This window comes from Homo sapiens, chromosome 17 (genome assembly GCF_000001405.40).
Source record: "Homo sapiens chromosome 17, GRCh38.p14 Primary Assembly".
Taxonomy (NCBI): domain Eukaryota; kingdom Metazoa; phylum Chordata; class Mammalia; order Primates; family Hominidae; genus Homo; species Homo sapiens.
This window is the reverse complement of record NC_000017.11, coordinates 65,077,965-65,097,490: the sequence shown is the minus strand read 5'-3', so window position 1 is coordinate 65,097,490 and position 19,526 is coordinate 65,077,965. Positions and strand designations below refer to the sequence as shown.

The window sequence follows — 19,526 nt, the reverse complement described above, 5'->3', positions numbered from 1 at the left end:
AAAAATATGAGTTGCATGCTGTGGTGTGCGTCTGTAGTCCTAGCTATTCAGTAGGCTGAGGTGAGAAGATCTCTTGTGACCAGGAGTTTGAGGTTGTAATGAGCTATAATCATACCACTGCACTGTAGCCTGGGCAACAGAGCAAGACTCTGTCTCAAAAATAAATAAATAGGCTAGGTGCAGTGACTCATGCATGTATTCCCAGCATTTTGGGAGGCTGAGACGGGAGGATTGCTTGAGGCCAGGAGTGCAAGATCAGCCTGGGCAACAAAGTGAGACCTCCATTTCTACAAAAAATAAAAATAGGAGCTAGATGCTGTGGTGTGTGCCTGTAGTCCTAGCTACTCAGGAGGTTGAGGTGAGAAGATAGCTTGTACCCAGGAGCTTGAGTTTGCAGTGAGCAATTATCAAGCCACTGCACTCCAGCCTCGGTGACAGAGCAAGAACCTCTCTCAAAAATAAATAGGCTGCACATGGTGACTCGCGCCTGTAATCCCAGCACTTTGGGAGGCTGAGCTGGGAGGATTGCTTGAGCCCAAGAGTTTGAGACCAGCCTGGGCAACATGGCTGGTCTCAAGCCAGATGAACACCTCATCCCTATTTTTTTTTTCTTCTTCTAAAAAAAAAAAAAAAAACAGGATACGTGTGCAGAACATGCAGACTTGTTACATAGGTATATGTGTGCCATGGTGGTTTGCTTCACCGATTGATCCATCCTCTGAGTTCCCTCCCCTCACCCCCCACTCCCCAACAGGCCCCGGTGTGTGATATTTACCTCTCTGTGTCCATGTGCTCTCATTGTTCAACTCCCACTTATGAGTGAGAACATGTGGTATTTGGTTTTCTATTCCTGTGTTAGTTTGCTGAGGATACTGGCTTCCAGTTTCATCCATGTCCCTGCTATGACATGATCTCATTCCTTTTTGTGGCTGCATAGTATTCCATGGTGTATATGTGCCATATTTTCTTCATCCAGTCTGTCACTGATGGGCATTTGGGTTGGTTCCATGTCTTCGCTATTATAAATAGTGCTGCAATGAACATATGTGTGCATATGTCTTTATAGTAGAATGATTTATATTCCTTTGGGTATGTACCCAGTAATGGTATTGCTGGATTAAATGGTATTTCTGGTTCTAGATCCTTGAGGAATTGCCATACTGTCTTCCACAATGGTTGAACTAATTTACAGTCCCACCAACAGCGTAAAAGAGTTCCTATTTCTCCACAGCCTCATCAGCATCTATTGTTTCCTGACTTTTTAATAATTGCCATTCTGACTGGCATGAGATGGTATCTCATTGTGGTTTTGATTTGCATTTCTCTGATGATCAGTGATAATGAGCTTTTTTTCATGTTTGTTGGCCACATAAATGTCTTCTTTTGAGAAGTGTCTATTCATATTCTTTGCCCACTTTTCGATGGGGTTGTTTATTTTCTTCCTGTAAATTTGTTGAAGTTCCTTGTAAATTCTGGATTTAGACCTTTGTCAGACAGGTGAATTGCAAAAATTTTCTCCCATTCTATAGGTAGCCTGTTCACTCTGATAATTTATTTTGCCATGCAGAGCTCTTTAGTTTAATTAGACCTCATTTGTCAATTTTGGCTTTTGTTGCAATTACTTTTGGCATTTTTGTGATGAAGTCTTTGCCCTTGCCTACGTCTTGAGTGGTATTGCCTAGGTTTTCTTCTAGGGTTTTTATGATTTTGGGTTTTACATTTAAGTATTTAATCCATCTTGAGTTAATTTTTGTATAAGTTGTAAATTTCTAATTTAATTAATTAACTTTATTAGTTTAAATTTATAAATGTATTAAATTAATTAATTTAGCTATTTTAAAATAATTAAAACTTTTTAAATTTAGTAAATAAATATATTAAGTACAGTTTCTGATGCAGTAGTTCTGGGGTGAGGCTGAGATTCTGCACTTCTAACAGGCTGCTAGGTGATGCCCAAGCCAACTTCAATCTGAGTAGCAAGATGTAAAAGCAATAGCATGTTAGCTACTAACAGCTGATGTAAATAAAGAAATATAAGAAATGGGGTACAGGGGGGTGTATTATAGCCACACACATTCAGAAGTCTATGTGTTTAATACATTTAAAAAGGATTATTGCCGGACACGGTGGCTCACGCCTGTAATCCCAACACTTTGGGAGGCCGAAGTAGGTAGATCACCTGAGGTTGGGAGTTCGAGACCAGCCTGGGCAACATGGTGAAACCCTGTCTCTACTAAAAATACAAAAATTAGCTGGACATGGCAGGTGCCTGTAATCCCAGCTACTCGGGAGACTAAGGCAGGAGAATAGCTTGAACCTGGGAGGCAGAGTGAGGCAAGATCATGCCATTGCACTCCAGCCTGGGCAACAAGAGCAAAATTCTGTCTCAAAAAAAAAGCGGGGGGTATTTTTTAGTGCAGAGCTCCCCAAAGCCTCTAACATACTTCCAAATAGAATGACTTAAGCAACTCAGAAGAAAAGTTTTTCAGAAAGACAAAAGCATTTATTTGCAATAGAGGCAAGAGGGCAACGGGTTTTCCCATGCTCCTGCTCAATCCCTCTCCCAGATGAACAGATGATGTCTTGCCATCCTTAAACTTCATTGCAAAGAAACTGGTTTCATCCACAGCTCCCTTCACATTCCCACCCAATCCCTTAGCTTCCATTTTGGACCATGGGACTTGACTCATAGACTGGCTATCAACCTGTAACACAGCCAGGTATAAAAGGATGACCTGAGCTTGGGCAACGCAGTGAGACTCTGTCTCTGCAAAAAAAAATTTTAAAAATTAGCCAGGTGTGGTGGTGCATGCCTGTAATCTCAGCTACTCAGGAGGATGAGGTGGGAGGATCACTTGAATTCGGGAGGTCAAGGCTGCAATGAGCTGTCATTGCACCGCTGCATTCCAGCCTGGATGATGGGGAGAGACCCTGCAAAAGAAAAGAAAAAAAAAAAAAGGATGACCTGGACCAATCAACTATATGATCACTCTTGGAAGTAGCCAGTTGAGCCAGTTGGTAGAGGTGGACAAATTTGAAAAGGGTGGAATCAGACCCATGGTGAGGCAAAGCCACATGAGAGCAAAATTATGAGGGAAGTGAACGCTGAGCAGGCCGTGAAAGCCCAGAGTAGAAACAGAAGCAGAATGTTCTGTTCCAGAATGGAACAGAAGCACAGAGCACTGCAGAGATGCCCCGAGAGCTCTTAGAAATGGAAGTTGATGTGGTGTGGATGCGTGTCCCCTCCAAATCTCATGCTGAAACGTGATCCCCAACGTTGGAGGTAGCCATGGTGGCAAATATTGGATCATGGGGGCAGATTTCTCAAGGATGACTTAGCACCGTCCCCCTGGTGGTAAGTGAGTTCTCCTTCAGTTACTTCACGTGAGATCTGGTTGTTTAAAAGTGTCTAGAACCTCTCCCTTCTCTCTGGCTCCCTCTCTCACCATGTGACATATCTGCTCCTGCTTCGCCTTCAGCCATGAGTGAAAGCTCCCTGAGGCCTCCCCAGAATTGAAGGGGATTCTGGCACCATGCTTCCTGTACAGCCTGCAGAATTATGAGCCAATTAAACCCCTTTTCTTTAGGAATCAACACAGAAGGAGGCCAGGCGCCGTGGCTCACCCCTGTAATCCCAGCACTTTGGGAGGCCGAGGCGGGTGGATCACGAGATCAGGAGATCAAGACCATCCTGGCTAACACGGTGAAACCCCGTCTCTACCAAAAATACAAAAAATTAGCAGGGCGAGGTGGCGGGCACCTGTAGTCCCAGCTACGCCGGAGGCTGAGGCAGGAGAATGGCTTGAACCCCGGGGGGCGGGGCCTGCAGTGAGCCGAGATCGCGCCACTGCACTGCAGCCTGGGCGACAGCGAGACTCCGTCTCAAAAAAAAAAAAAAAAAAAAAAAGGAGCCAACACAGAAGGGAAAGCCACTGGGGGCTGGGTGAAAAAGAGTAACTTAGTTTTTCATGATGGTAACAGGCTACAGACTAGAAGAATAGTACAGTTATGTTTCAATGGGACTTTTTTTTTTTTTTTTTTTTTTGAGATGGAGTCTTGCTCTGTCGCCCAGACCGGAGTGCAGTGGGCGCGATCTTGGCTCACTGCAACCTCTGCCTCCTGGGTTCAAGCGATTCTCCTCCCTCAGCCTCCAAGTAGCTGGGATTACAGACGTGTGCCACCACACCCGGCTAATTTTTGTATTTTTAGTAGAGATGGGGCTTCACCATTTTCAGACCAGAGGGGAAAAAGTGAACTTTGCCCCCTTCCCTCTAGGAAGCCCAAAGCCAATTTGCAGCCAACTTGAAGCAATAGTAGAAGTTTATTGCCTTTATATCTTCATTCTCTCCAACCTCACCCTATATCCACCCTGGTCTTGACTCCATATTTAATTTGTTTTTCTTGTACCGATTTTTAATTTATACTTTATCATTTTATTTCATGCATCTCCTAAATGCCTTGTTGACTCACTTGTGAAAAGAGACACAACGGCTGGGCGCGGTGGCTCATGCCTGTAATCCCAGCACTTTAAGAGGCCGAGGTGGGTGGATCACGAGGTCAGGAGATTGAGACCATCCTGACTAACACGGTGAAACCCCGTCTCTACTAAAAGTACAAAAACAAAATTAGCCGGGAGTGGTGGCGGGCGCCTGTAGTCTCAGCTACTTGGGAGGCTGAGGCAGGAGAATGGAGTGAACCTGGGGGAGCGGAGCTTAGAGTGAGCCAAGATCATGCCACTGCCCTCCAGCCTGGGCGACAGAGCAAGACTCCGTCTCAAAAAGAAAAGAGACACAGAGACACAACATAAATAAATACATGTACCAGATGAGAGCTAAGTTAAGTGATTTGTATCTGAATGACCATAACCCCAATTCCTCCTGTTAATCATCATCACAGGGGTAGAGATAGGTCTCTAGAAGCATGTCACAGGATTCACCCAAAACTGCCTCCTGTTAAAAATTAAAATGATTTAGATAACAACATTGATGACACACTGTTTACATTTGCAAACAAAGATGCAAATGGAAAGAATGACTAACACGTTAGAAAATAGGATTTGCTTCCAAAAGTTCTTGCCAACCTAAGCGTAAGCTATCGTGCTTTCAAGAACTGATCAAATCTCCACTGTGAATCAGCATCTCTGGGCTAAAGTTCAGTGTTACAGTTTCCCACTGTTATCTAAAATCATTATAAGAATTAGTTGTGCCTGGTGCAGTGGCTGGCACCTGTAATCCCAGCCCTTTGGGAGGCTGAGGCAGGCAGATCACTTGAGGTGAGGAGTTTGAGACCAGCTTGGCCAACATGGTGAAACCCAGTCTGTACTAAAAATACAAAAAAATTAGCTGGGCGCAGTGGCTGTAATCCCAGCTACTGGGGAGGCTGAGGTGGGAGAATCGCTTGAACCTGGGAGGCAGAGGTTGCAGTGAGCCGAGATCGCACCACTGCACTCCAGCCTGGGCAACACACAGAGTGAGACTCCATCTCAAAAAAAAAAAAAAAAAAGAATTAGTTGTGTGAATTTCTCTTTGAAAAAAAAAATTGTGATTTGATACCAAATCAGATTCAAACACTTTTGTCAAAGAATTACCCATTCTATCTCTCTACCATGTATAATAGGAGAAATTTCTTTCAAAGTTTTGTACCAAGAAAAACTTAATTTTCCTTAAAAAAACTCAAAATGTTTCTCTGCTCAAGAGAGATGTATATCATGTTTCTTTTTTCATCTTGATCATCAGATCACTTCAGATCTGCCATCAGGCTCCCTTGGAATAAACATTTGATTTCTAGTATTTTCTCCACTCTTTTCCTATTTTGATTCCTATACAATTGGCTTTTATTATCTGGGCTTTTATCTATTGGTAAGCCACAACAACTTTTTTTTTTTTTAGAATGACTTGGGATATAAATAAACTAAATATATCCTGTTTGAATAATAAGTGGAAGACAGCTTGATGAATTGGACAAGGTAGGTAAAAAAAGGGCGAAAAGGAGCAATCTCAACAGTTTTCAAGATAAGTAACTATATCAAACTGATTTTTTGAATCTACATTGTTTTACATTGGTCCAAGACATCTGCTAGAGGGAGAACAGTCTGAGGAAGTGTAGTCAGCTTTGATAACCTTGCGCCTTCTTATCCTTACATTCTTTTGCATCTTTGTTTGAAAATGTAAACACTTTGCTTAGAGCACCTCTCTCCATCTAAATCAATTGGCTTTGCTTGACAGTAAAAGGGTGTCTTGTTCCCGCAAGCCTGGAACTCTGTTCTTCTCCCTGCACCTCCATCATTTCCAGGCAAGGTGGGCCAGTGAGCAGGCGAGGAAGGGAGGAGTGGGGAGGAGAGTGGGTTTTAGGGATTTCATGGAGAACGATTTGCCCTAAGACAGACCTCCTGGTCACCTCCTCCATATGCTACCCTACAATAAGAGATGTTTCCTCCTTTCCATCCTAAGGAATGGAGTTCCTGCAATGATAGAAATTTCCCAGAAACACTTGCTAGAAATTATCAAAGACAAATATGGCAACACCATCCTGTCTTCTGATACCCCACATGCCTCCTTTAGACCAAAGTCAGATGAATTCTGTTTAATAATATTGATGTCTCTGCTTTTGCAAGTCTCTTTTTCCCCACTATGAATATTATACATGTCCCCTACTGAAAATTTAGAAAACAAAGAAACACAAATTTTTACAAATGTAATAATATCTACACAAGGCATGGTGGCTCACATCTGCAGTCCCAGGTACTCAGAAGGCAGACAGGAGGATCACTCAAGCTCAGGAGTTAAAATCTGCAGTGAGCTATGACCTTGCCACTGTACTCCAACCTGGACAACAGAGCAAGACTCCATCTCTAAAAACAATGAATCTGGGAAAAGAAGTGTAAAAGATGTGAAATTGAATGTATGGTAGAAAGGGATGTGCTGAGAGTCAGAAGACTTGGATTATAGCCTCATGTCTGCCATAACTATTAATAGCTGGGGTGATCTTGGGCAAGTAACTTATCCTTGATGATTTTTTTTTCACTTATAAAAGGAAAAGGTTAGGCTGGGCAGACCTGCTCTTCTAGCATTCCAGGATCACAGAACGGTTCAACAGGAGACATAATAACCAGACTGTCAGGGTTTATATTCCCAGCACTGCCACTTATGAGTTGTTTGACTTTGGGTAAATTTCACAGCCTCTCCATGTTTCAACATCCTCATCTATAAATGAAAAATGATATTATCTGTCATATATTGATGATTTGGTGAATGTTGGCTACTGTTATCTTTTTCTTTCTTTCTTTCTTTTTGCAATAGGGTCTTGCTCTGTTGCCCAGGCTAAAGTGCAGTAGTGCTATCTCAGCTCACTGCAACCTCCACTCCCAGGCTCAAGTGATCCTCTCGCCTCAGCCTCTCAAGTAGCTGGGACTACAGGAGCGTGCCACCATGCCTGGCTAATTTTTGTATTTTTTGTAGAGATGGGGATTTTCCATGTTGCCCCAGACTGGTCTTGAACTCTTGAGCTCAAGCAACTGCCCACTTTGGCTTCCTAAAGTGCTGGAATTACAGGCGTGCTATTATTATCTTAAACATGGCCCAGTCTACCTTTCCAGCTGTATCTCATGTCACACAAGACCTCTTTTCTGAAAGCCATGGGTGTCCAATGCTGTCTACCCAGCAACACCATAACCTCTCATGTCATTTGGGATCTCAACTTTGTGATATCCAAAACCGAGTGAATAATTTCTATGCACCTACAGCCCATGTCTCCTTAACTGTTTCCTATCACAGCAGATAATACCAACACCTACTCACTTGCTCAGCGCAAAGACCTGGGATTCAACCAGATACCCCTTTCTCCCTTACTCCTGAGAGCCAATCAATCATTAAATTAACCAACTCTGTCTCCTTAATGTTTCTTTAATACATCAATTTCAGTCATCTTCACTGCCACCCACCCTACCAGTATCTCTTGCCTGGGCAACTCCCATGGTGCCTTATTGGTCTTCCCGCATTTGCTCCTGCCCCACACCTCCTTCTAGCTTCCAATTCATTCCTCCACTGTGGCCGGAGCAACTTTTTTTTTTAACTCTATGTTTAGACATTCCACTTTTCTGCTTAGAGGGCTTCAGTTGTCTACCACAGCTCTTAGAAAACAGCCCATTTGTAATGAGTCCTGAATGATCCCTCAATCTGGATGCTGCCCACCCCAAGGATCCCCCCCATGCCCCTCTCTCTAAGGATTTCTGTGCCCCAGTCACACTGCTCCCTTTCCATTTCTGGAACAATCTAAGCTTCTTTTTGCCTCGAGGCTCTTACGTGTGGCCAAAACTATTCTTCACTTACCTTTTACCCAGCTAACTTCTCATCCTTTGGGCTCCAGCCAAAATAGAACTTCCTCAAGGGAAAACCTTCCCTCTCTCCCCCTATTAGGTTAGATCCTTCTATTATGCCTCTTTTTAGTCCATTTTCCTTAACTGTACTTTTTTTTTTCACTTGTAAAAGGAAAAGGTTAAATGTATACCCATGTTCATAGCACCATGATTCACAATAGCCCAAAGGCAGAAGCAACCCAAGTACCCATCAATGGATGACTAGACAAACAACATGTTATATACATGCAGTGGAACATCGTTCACCCTTCAAAAGGAAGAAAATTCTGACCCATGCTGCAACACGGATGATTTTTATGTGATTCTCCATAGTGTCTGTCTTGCTCATTGGCTTGTCAGTGCCTTCAGGGCAGAGATTTTATTATTCACTCTCTCTTCCCAGCACTTGGCTCCATACCTAGGATACAGCAGTTCCTCCATCAATATACAAAAGAATAAGATTCAGAGAGAAATGCAGAGGCCAGAGATGGGGAACCACACAGCCCCAGGAGCCTCCGTTTCTGCCTGCTGGGTTCCAGCCCTGAAGAAGCTCAGCTGTCCACTGTCCATGGAGGCACAGACACGTCATTTAAATTCCTTTACTTAAGGTGGCATGAGGTCCTTTTTCTTTCTGGAGAGCTGGAAATTTGCTTTTTCCCTCTTCAAAAGAAAGGCTGCAGCGAGCCTCATGGGCTGGGTGTGGTGGCTTATGCCTGTAATCCCAGCACTTTGTGGGGCTAAAGCAGGAGGATCACTTGAGCCCAGGAGTTCGAGACCAGCCTGGGCAACATAGTGAGACACCCCCATCTCTACAAAAAATAAATAAACACAATTAGCCAGTTGTGGTGGTACACACCTGTGGTCCCTGCTTTTTGGGAGGCTGAGGTGGGAGGATCACTTGAGCTCAGGAAGTCAAGGCTGCAGTGAGTCAAGATCACGCCACTACATTCCAGCCTGAGCAACAGAGTGAGACCCTATCTCAAAAAACAAAAAGCAAAACAAAGGAACAAAAAAGCCCTCAAGGCCTTTCATTTAATAGCAAGGGTAATAACAAACACTCATAGAGTCTATCTGTAAAACATTCATTTAAAGACCACTCATTTAATCTTCATGACCAGCCCCTGAGGGGGATATGGTGATAGCCTCCTCATTGTTCAGGTGAGAATCTGGAGGTAGGTGTGGACTTGGCACAGAACTGGGAAGTAGCGAAGGTCAGATTCAAAACCTGGGTAGTCCAGCTCCAAAGTCCATTGCCGAACCATTATACTGGTTGCAACGCCCTGCCCCAAGTGTAGCATAAAAGTGTTTGTAGAATAGACATAAGAGACATGGAGTAGCTGAGTGTTAGGAGAAGGCTTGCTCCCCATTCCCTTTTTCTTCTTTGAGTCTGCCCTCCCCGCAACAACTGCTGAGGCTTTGCCCCTTTGCTGGCTGGGCCCTAGAAGAGATGGAATGACTCACTGGATTAATACATTTGGGAAGAACTATGTAATGAAAAATAAATATTATAAATCTAATATAAACTATATTCATATTAATAAAATATTTAATATATTATAAATATATAGTTTATATAAATATTATTTTTATATTATATTATATATGACTGTTAAATTTATTTATTTTATTTTTTATTTTATTTTATTTTTGAGACAGAGTCTCACTCTGTTGCCAGGCTGGAATGCAGTGGCGTGATCTCAGCTCACTGCAACCTCCGCCTCCTGGGTTCAAGCGATTCTCCTGCCTCAGCCTCCCGAGTAGCTGTGATTACAGGTACCCGCCACTATGCCCAGCTAATTTTTGTATTTTTAGTAGAAATGGGTTTTCACGGTGTTGGCCAGGATGGTCTCGTTCTCTTGACCTCGTGATCCGCCTACCTTGGCCTCCCAAAGTGCTGGGATTACAGGCGTGAGCCACCGCGCCCGGCCGTTAAATTTATATATAATACATGAATATATAACATATTAATATGAATGGCTTTCCTCTTAGGCACTGAGCTTCCTGCAGGCAGCATCTATTCTGCATTACTCCACCCTAGGCCAGCCCCCGCCTGGGGCCAGCGTGGCTGTGACCAGGTGGGAGAGTCCACCCCACTCTAACTTTAGGCAGGCCCATTTGGCTCTCAGACTAAGCTAAGGTCTTCACTTAGCCTTTATCAGAAATAAAAGTGTAGGACAGGCATAGTGGCTCATGTTTGTAATCCTAGCACTTTGGGAGGCCAAGGCATGAGGATTGCTTGAGCTCAGGAGTTTGAGACCAGCCAGGGCAACATACTGAGACCCCTGTCTCAGGAAGGAAGGAAAAGAAAGAAAGAGGGAAGGGAAGGGAAGCAAAGGAAAGGGAAGGGAAGGGGAGGGGAGGGGAGGGGAGGGGAAATGGGAAGGGGAAGGGGGGGAGGGAAGGGAGAACAGGAAGGGGAAGGGGAAGGAAGGAAAGAAAGAAAGAGAAGGAAGGGAAGGGAAGGAAGGAAAGGCAGGCACACTCTACACCCATTAGGATCTTAAGGGAGTCCTGAGTGGTCTGGGTGGAGGGCTGGGGTTCAGTGCCAGGCCCCTCTGACTCAGACAACCCAAGCTGAATTCCCAGTGGCAGGCACTCAGCCATGAGCTAAAGGATCATACCCCACCTTTACTGGGTGTTTGGGGTCCCCACCTTTCAATTCATTTAATTCTCACAAAAACATCCCTATGAGGAAGCAGCAATTATGATCCACATTTTAGAGATGGGGAAACTGAGTCACAGAGGCTTTAAGTCACTTGGGGAAACTGAGTCACAGAGGCTTTAAATCACTCGCCTGGGTCCTGTAGCTTTGAATGGTAAGTGGCAGCACTGGAGTTTCGCCCTCGGCAGGCTGGTTCTGGAGTCCACACTCCTAACCTTTCCCAATCCCTGCCTGGGCTGCTTCGGCCAAAGAGACACCAGCTGATGGCCCTCAGAGACACCAGCCACCAAGACCTCCCGAGGGGTCTTGGCATCCCTAGTGTTCCTGTGACTCAAGCTCAGCCTTCCAGACCCCCAGCCCCTCCTTGTGCTTCCGGCAGGCGTCTCCTTCCGTGAGCAGCAGATGGGGGAGCAGGAGCCGGTGCATCCCCCCAAGACCCTCCACGGCAGGGACTTTCCAGTTCCCACCCATGCTGCTCTCTGCCCCTGATTTTCCTGGGAATGGCAACATCTGCAAGGGTGCAGGAAGATGACTGAGCCAGGATATGCAAAGGAAATGAAAACGGGAGCACCTGCAAGGATTTTGTTTACTATTCCACAAGTTCCACTTTCTTTCTTTAGACAGGGAGTTTCAAATTCCATCTCCTTCACTCTTCGGGTCCTCCCACCCTGGTGTGAAGATTCACCCTCCAGTCCCCCAGGTACGGGACCATCTGTGTTGCGTTTCACGAAACGTAACTGTGACATCACATCAGGACACTCCCAAGGCTCACCGTCCAATTGGGGTCCCCAAACTGTTCATCCCCCTCTTGAACTTGGCAGCTCCCTCTGCGGCTCTCACACATTAGCCCATCTTCTCAAGCTCCTGACCAAGCCTCCACTCCTCTCATTCTTGGCAGCTGACAATGCATTTGCTAAGCTAAGCAGCTGGCAGCCTTGACTGCTACCTCCCCCACCACAAATGCATCTTCATCTGCCCCTGTTAGAGGGCGATGTATCTCTTTCCTCTTCAAGGCCACCCCCTCCAGTTGTGTGTGCTCTCCTCCTGTCTCCTTTTTGACCTTGCCCATCCCTATTCTTTTGATCTATAAATATGCTAAAGCCATTTCTATCCTTTATTTTTATTTATTTATTTATTTATTTATTTATTTATTTTTGAGACAGAGTCTTGCTCTGTCGCCCAGACTGGAGTGCAGTGGCACAATCTTGGCTCACTGTAACCTCTGCCTGCCGGATTCAAGTAATTCTCCTGCCTCAGCCTCCCGAGTAGCTGGGACTACAGGCGCCTGCCACCACGCCTGGCTAATTTTTGTGTTTTTGGTAGATACAGGGTTTCACCAAGTTGACCAGGCTGCTCTCGAACTCCTGACCTCAGGTGATCCGCCTGCCTCAACCTCCCAAAGTGCTGGGATTACAGGTGTGAGCCACCGTGCCCGGCCACCTTTTCTATCTTTTAAAAAAATGTGGTCCTCCCTTCCCTGCCCTCAGCTATCACTTATATCTGTTTGCTACCACTCTATCTGTTTTCGGCCCTTCTCTGTCCCTTCTGGTGGGTGGTCGTCTCTTGCTCTCCTCCCATCTACTCCCTAATCTGGGGCAATCTGGAATTGGTCCCATCCCTGTTTCATTTAAACTGCTCTCTTCACAAATGTCCTGCCAAATGTCAACTGCAAGAGACACCCTGCATTCCTTTTTTTTTTTTTTTTCCCCAGTCAGGGTCTTACTCTGTCACCCAGGCTGGAGTGGCATGATCACGGCTCACTGCAGCCTCAACCTCCCAGGCTCAGGTGATCCTCCCTCTGCCTCCTGGTTAGCTGAGACTACAGGTGTGTGCCATTCACTCCCAGCTAGTTTGTTGTTGTTGTTGTTGTTGTTTATTTTTTTGTAGAGATCAGGTTTTACCCTGTTGCTCAGGCTGGTCTGGAACTCCTGGGCTCAAGTGATCTGGTCACCTCAGCCTCCCAAAGTGTTGGGATTTGCAGCTCTACAAAAGAGGGCCACTGTGCCTGCTCCCCCTTTTCTGTTCTATCTGCAACATTTTACACTGCTCACCTCTCCCTTCTTGATGGCTCTTCCTGGGTTTCCGGGACATGACTCTATTCTAGTTCTTAGTCTTCATCTGATAGCTGTTTCTTGGTCTTCTTTGCTGGCTCCTCAAGCTGCCCAGTAAATGTGTGTGTTCTGCAAGAGTTCACTCTTTTTTTTTTTTTTTAATACTTTAAGTTCTAGGGTACATGTGCACAACATGCAGGTTTGATACATAGGTATACATGTGCCAAGTTGGTTTGCTGCACCCATCAACTTGTCATTTACATTAGGTATTTCTCCTAATGCTATACCTCCTCCAGCCCCCCACCCCATGACAGGCCCCAGTGTGTGATGTTCCCCACCCTGTGTCCAAGTGTTTTCATTGTTCGATTCCCACCTATGAGTGAGTACAAGCGGTGTTTGGTTTTCTGTCCTTGTGACAGGTTGCTGAGAATGATGGTTTCCAGCTTCATCCATGTCCCTGCAAAGGACATGAAAGAGTTCACTCTTAGTCCATCTGTCTTCTCATTCTTCGTGCTCTTCAAGCTGACCTCACTCATCCCATCATGGTTAACCACCCTTACGTGTTGATGACCTCCAAGTCTCTCCTTTCCAGCCCTACCTACTCTCCAATCTTCTAATCAAGTGCTGTGCAATAGACCTTGCTGTAATAATGAAAATGTTCTATAAATTGGGCTGTCCAATATGGTAGCCACTAGCCACATGTGGCTACTGGGCACTTAAAATGTGGTTAATGGCCAGGCATGGTGACTCACACCTATAATTCCAGCACTTTGGGAGGTTGAAGTGAGAGCCCGGGAGTAGAGACCAGCCTGGGCAACATAGTGAGACCTCATCTCTATATATTAAAAAAAAAGAGAAAGAGAAAAGGAATGTGGCTAGTGTGTTTAAGGAACTGAGTTTTAGATGTTATTTAATTTTAATTTTAATAGCTACAGGGCCGGCTCAAGCCTGTAATCCCAACACTTTGGGAGGCTGAGGCAGGTGGATCACAAAGTCAGGAGTTCGAGACCACCCTGGCCAACCTGGTGAAACCTCATCTGTACTAAAAATACAAAAATTAGCTGGGTGCGGTGGTGGGTGCCTGTGATCCCGGCTACTCAGGAGACTGAGGCAGGAGAATTGCTTGAACCCGGGAGGCAGAGGTTGCAGTGAGCCGAGATTGCATCACTGCATTCCAGCCTGGGAGACAGAACAAGACTCCATCTCAAAGAAAACAAAAAAATTAAAAATTAAAAAAATCAATAGCTACAAGTGGCTAGTGGCTACTGTATTGGACAGTACAGTTGTAGACCTACATTGCCAACTGCCTGGGGACATCTTGATTAGGATGTCTCTCTGGCTCCTCAACAAGTCCCAAACTGAGCTTATTAGCATCACACTCTCCCCTACCTTCGCCTCCATGCCCTTGAGCAAAATGAAAACCTTCTCTTTCTCTTGATTTCTCTTCCTGAGTTGACAGCATCAACACTCATGCCTTTACCCAAACCCTAAACTTCTAGACTTCCAGGCTCTTCCTTTTCACTCATCTTCTATAATTATGTGGTCAATTCTCCCTCCTAAATTTCTTGTAGCTCCATCCTTGCCTTTCCAAACCTTCTCAGAGGCTTGAGTTCAGAATCAAAGCTTCTCTTGTCAGGCTATCACCAATTCCCTACACCCAGCCTCCGCCAAGCCACCAGCAGACCTCTGAGCTGGACAGCTTTCCTTTGCTTCTCCGGATGTCCTCTCCATCTCCACCCTTCCATCCTGATGTCCTAGTAGCTGGTTTCTATAGACCCTGTCACCTGGACTTCTTTGCTCTTGGACTTCCAACTGGGTCAGGAAGACTGGAGGGTGGGAAGAGGTTGGCGCATCTAACCACTGAGCTCCTAGGGTTATTGGTAGCTGCCTTCCTCTACCAAAGCCCATGTCCATGAGGTGGCCACTCCTACAGCTACGGGATTCTGGTTCTCACTCTTTTCACTTGCTGCTTCCAGCCTAGATGCAGTAAGAGTTCCCTGCTGTGGTTCTGCTGGGGCACTGCGCCGCCCTTTGTTGTTTCCCTAATCACGTCTCAATCCCCCCGCGCACCACCCCCCCAACTTTTTTTTTTGAGACAGGATCTCACTCTTGCCCAGGCTAGAGTACAGTTGCACAATCATGGCTCACCGTAGCCTCGACCCCTGGGTTCAAGTGATCCTTCCAACTCAGCCTCCCAAGTAGCTGGGACAACAGGTGTGTACCACAACACCCAGCTGAGTTTTTTTGTTTTTGTTTTTGTTTCTTTTTAATTTTTAGAGATGAGGGTCTCACTATGTTTCCCAGGCTGGTCTTGAACTCCAGGGCTCAAGCAATCCTCCCACCTTGGCCTTCCAAAGTTAGAATTACAGGCATGAACCACCTTGCCCAGCCCTTCTCAAGTCTTTATTCATGGTCCGTTTATTAAACTCTCCTTGGTTGCCCAGATTCAGTGTGTTATCCATTTCTTCTGGGACTTGATTGATATTTCCAAGCCTTGAAATGCCTCCTCGTCACCCACAGGAGACAAATAAAGCCTGTGCTTCTTTGAAGAGCACCTGAAGCCACTTATGATCTGTTTCCTGCTTGCTCTTTCCACTTCATCTCCCACCTCTCCTTCTCTTGCGCTTTATAGTCCTATAATGCCAGATTGCTTATGATGCCCGGAAGGGGCCCTATTGTTTTCCACCTCCATGCCTATGCCTGCCAAACTCTTGCTTAACCTTTAAAACCCTTCTCCAGATGTTGCCTCCTCTGGGAAGTCCCCCAGGCCTTCCTTTCTGCTTCTACTGTATTTTGTTGGTATTTCCATTATTTATGACATCATGATATATTATAATTTCTTGTTTAGGTCTGTATTGTCTTTTCTGCCCATAGAGTGCCTCTTAAGGAAAGGACTAGGCCAGATGTGGTGGCTCACACCTGTAATTCTAGTGCTTTGGGAGGCTGAGGCAGAAGGTTCACTTGAGGCCAGGAGTTCAAGACTAAGCTCAGCAACATAGTGAGATTCCACCTCTACAATAAAATTTAAAAATTAGCTGGGCAGGGTATCACACACCTGCAGTCCCAGCTACTCGAGAAGCTGAGACAGGAGGATCACTTGAGCCCAAGAGGTTGAGGCTACAGGGCTACAGTAAGCCATAATCACACCACTGCACTCTAGCCCAGGTAAGAGAGTGAGATCTTATCTCTTAAAAAAAAAAAAAGTAAGGATATAAATATATATATTTATTTAATAAAATATTTATTGATCCTGGCATTCTAGGTGCTAGATAGCTAGATATATCAGTAGTGACCCCTTTCTACAAGCACTATGAGGGAAGCACTATTGTCCTTATCTTAGAGGACACCCAGAAGGCCGAGGTTGCAGTGATGTGCCAGGTTCAGAAAACTGGCAAGAGGTTTGGATTTGGTGTCAAACCAAGTCCTTCTAGCTGCACAGTTCATACTTTTGGCCACAGTTTTACGTTGCTGCAGGTCTTGCCAAGAATAGTTTTATTGGCCGGGTGCGGTGGCTCATGCCTGTAATCCCAGCACTTTGGGAGGCCGAGGCAGGCGGATCACGAGGTCAGGAGATCGAGGCCATCCTGGCTAACACGGTGAACCAGTCTCTACTAAAAATACAAAAAAATTAGCCGGGCGTGATGGTGGGCGCCTGTAGTCTCAGCTACTCGGGAGGCTGAGGCAGGAGAACGGCGTGAGCCCGGAAGGTGGAGCTTGCAGTGAGCCGAGATCGCGCCTGGGGGACAGAGCGTGACCCCGTTTCAAAAAAAAAAAAAAAAAAAGTTTTATTAAGACTGGTGTTACGGGTTGAATTGTGACCCCCTCCCACACTCACAGAAGGATATGCTGAAGTCCTGACGCCCACTGCTTCAGAATGGGCCTTATTTGGAAGGAAGGTCTTTACAGAAGTAATCAGGTTAAAATGAGGTTCAGGGCTGGGTGCAGCCGCTCAGGCCTGTAATCCCAGCACTTTGGGAGGCTGCGGCAGGAGGATCACTTCAGCCTAGGAGTTTGAGATCAGCCAGGGCAACACTGTGAGACACTATCTCAATTATATTTATAAATATATATACACACATATATGTACATATTGTTACATATTTATTGAATATATATTTATAGTTTAAATATATTTTAATATATGATATTTTTATAATATATAAAATATAAATGTAAATGTTATATATCATGTATTATATATAAATTTAACATTTTTATATAATATAATATAAACATTTATATAAGCTATATATTTATAATATATTAAATATTATATTAATATGACTATAGTTTATTGGATTTATAATATTTATTTTTCATTATATATACATATATAAGAAAAATAAAAATATTATATTAGATTTATAATATTTATTTTTCATTATATATACATATATATAAGAAAAAAAATGAGGTCGGGGGCCCTGATCTAATATGATTAGTGTCCTTGTAAACAAGGGAAATTTGGACACAGAAATACAGAAGGAAGGTGGTGTGAAGATGTGGGGAGGAGACAGCCATGTGAATAGAGAGGGGAGGGCAGTGTGAAGATGCGGAGAGGAGACAGCCATGTGAATAGAGATGTCAAGGATGCTGGCCAGCAACCGAAGCTGGAAGAGACGAGGAAGCGTTCTTAACCCAGAGCCATCGGAGAGAGTACGGCCCTGCTGACGCCTTGCATTTAGACTTCCAGGCTCCAGAACTGGGAGATAGTAAATGTCTGTTGTTTTAAGCCTCTCAGCTTTTGGTTCTTTGTTATGGCAGCCCCAGGAAATGCATACATCTGGGGAGGCTCAAGCCCCTCCTCGCTGGGAAGTGGGGGGGTGTTGGAATACTAACTGGATGTGGAGTCCCCCTGGGGCTCTACTGGGAGTGCCAAGTGGATCCTGGCAGTCACTGAGTAGGCTTCTTTGTGTGATTTTGCTCCAGCATTGACCTGACAACTCAACAATTATTTTTCTTTTTCTTTTTTTCTTAGAGACAGACTCTTGCTATGTTGCCCAGGCTGGTCTTAAATTCCTGGGCTCTTGCTCTGCATATTCTCAGTGCAATAAAAAAAAGAAAAAAAAGTGGCAGTCACCAATTTTATTTTTTGGTGTTTTTTTTTATTTTGTTTTGTTTGTTTGTTTGAAATGGAGTCTCGCTCCGTCACCCAGGCTGGAGTGCAGTGGTGCGATCTCAGCTCACTGCAACCTCTGCCTCCTGGGTTCAAGCAATTCTCCTGCCTCAGCCTCCGGAGTAGCTGGGATTACAGGCTTGCACCACCACGCTCGTCTAATTTTTGTATGTTTATTAGAGAGAGGGTTTCACCATGTTGGCCAAGCCAGTCTTAAACTCCTGACCTCAGGTGATCTGCCTGGCTCGGCCTCCCAAAGTGCTGGGATTACAGGCCTGGGCCACCGTGCCTGGCTGTAGTCACTGATTTTAAATTACGCTTCCAACTGCCTCTGGTGACCCCATAAGTCTGTGACATGCAGTAATTTGTAAACCTGAGCCCCCCCGCCCCAAGAAAGTGATCCTCAGCATGCTCAAATCCCCAGCTCCCAGCTCAGGGCCTAACACCCCACAGGCTTCCAGTGCTGGGCATTGAGTCACTAAATCCTGCTCAACTAAGGCACCAGGAGTCCGTGGAGTGCTTGCGATCTCGAAGGGTGTCAAGGAGACTGGTAGAGCTATTGTGCCCATTCCCACAGGCCAGCCCCCAGGACATATTCCAGTCTCATGCCATGGTCAAAACAAACAAGTCAAGTTTCAGGATGCTCTAGTGGGTTCTACTGACTCTTTCCCAGGGTGACTCACTGCTGCAGGGAGAGAAGCGGGCTGGGACTCAAGTGCCTGTGCTTTCTTTTTCTTTCTTCTGTCTTTCCAGGAAGCCCTTGGAACAGGATGTAAAAGCAGCACTTTCCATCCAGCCTGACATCCTGCTTCCAGATGCAGAAGGCTGAGCAGGCCACCAGGATCACATTTAAATGGCTGTGGCCATGATGTTCCAATTTGAAACCTGGACTCCACCAACTTCCATACTCATCCCTTGCTCTCAGCCCTCTCCCTCCCCTGTCCAGGTCCTCAGGATGATCTGAGAAATATGTTACACTTTTCTTCCTCGCTAGATGTCAACACGTTGGAAGGCAGGGACCTTGCCATATTAATCCTTAGGGCCTTGGGTTCTGCTGTAGTAAAGACTCAAAAAATGTTGGGTAAAATTAATTTTAAAAACAACTGGTGGCCGGGTGCGGTGGCTCACGCCTATGATCCCAGCACTTTGGGAGGCCAAGGCGGGTGGATCACCTGAGGTCAGGAGTTCGAGACCAGCCTGGGCAACATGGTGAAACCCTGTCTTTACTAAAAATACAAAAATTAGCCTGGCGTGGTGGCAGCGCCTGTAGTCCCAGCTACTTGGGAGGCTAAGACAGGAGAATTGCTTGAACTTGGGAGGCAGAGGTTGCAGTGAACTGAGATT

At 45.3% G+C, this 19,526-nt stretch overlaps 1 long non-coding RNA gene across 3 annotated transcripts in view; it reads left to right on the top strand.

The window, feature by feature from the left end:
* Positions 1-19,526, top strand: part of LOC105371864 (uncharacterized) — a 22,748-nt gene extending 3,222 nt beyond the window's left edge. The window contains exons 1-3 of one of the 3 annotated variants that reach the window (XR_007065878.1): positions 3,588-3,703; positions 5,889-5,965; positions 18,936-19,526. This is a non-coding gene — a long non-coding RNA (uncharacterized LOC105371864). Of the gene's footprint in view, positions 1-3,587; positions 3,704-5,888; positions 5,966-8,756; positions 9,108-18,935 lie in introns of those variants that run through there. The other 2 variants (XR_002958120.1, XR_934923.2) reach the window with 2 other exon arrangements.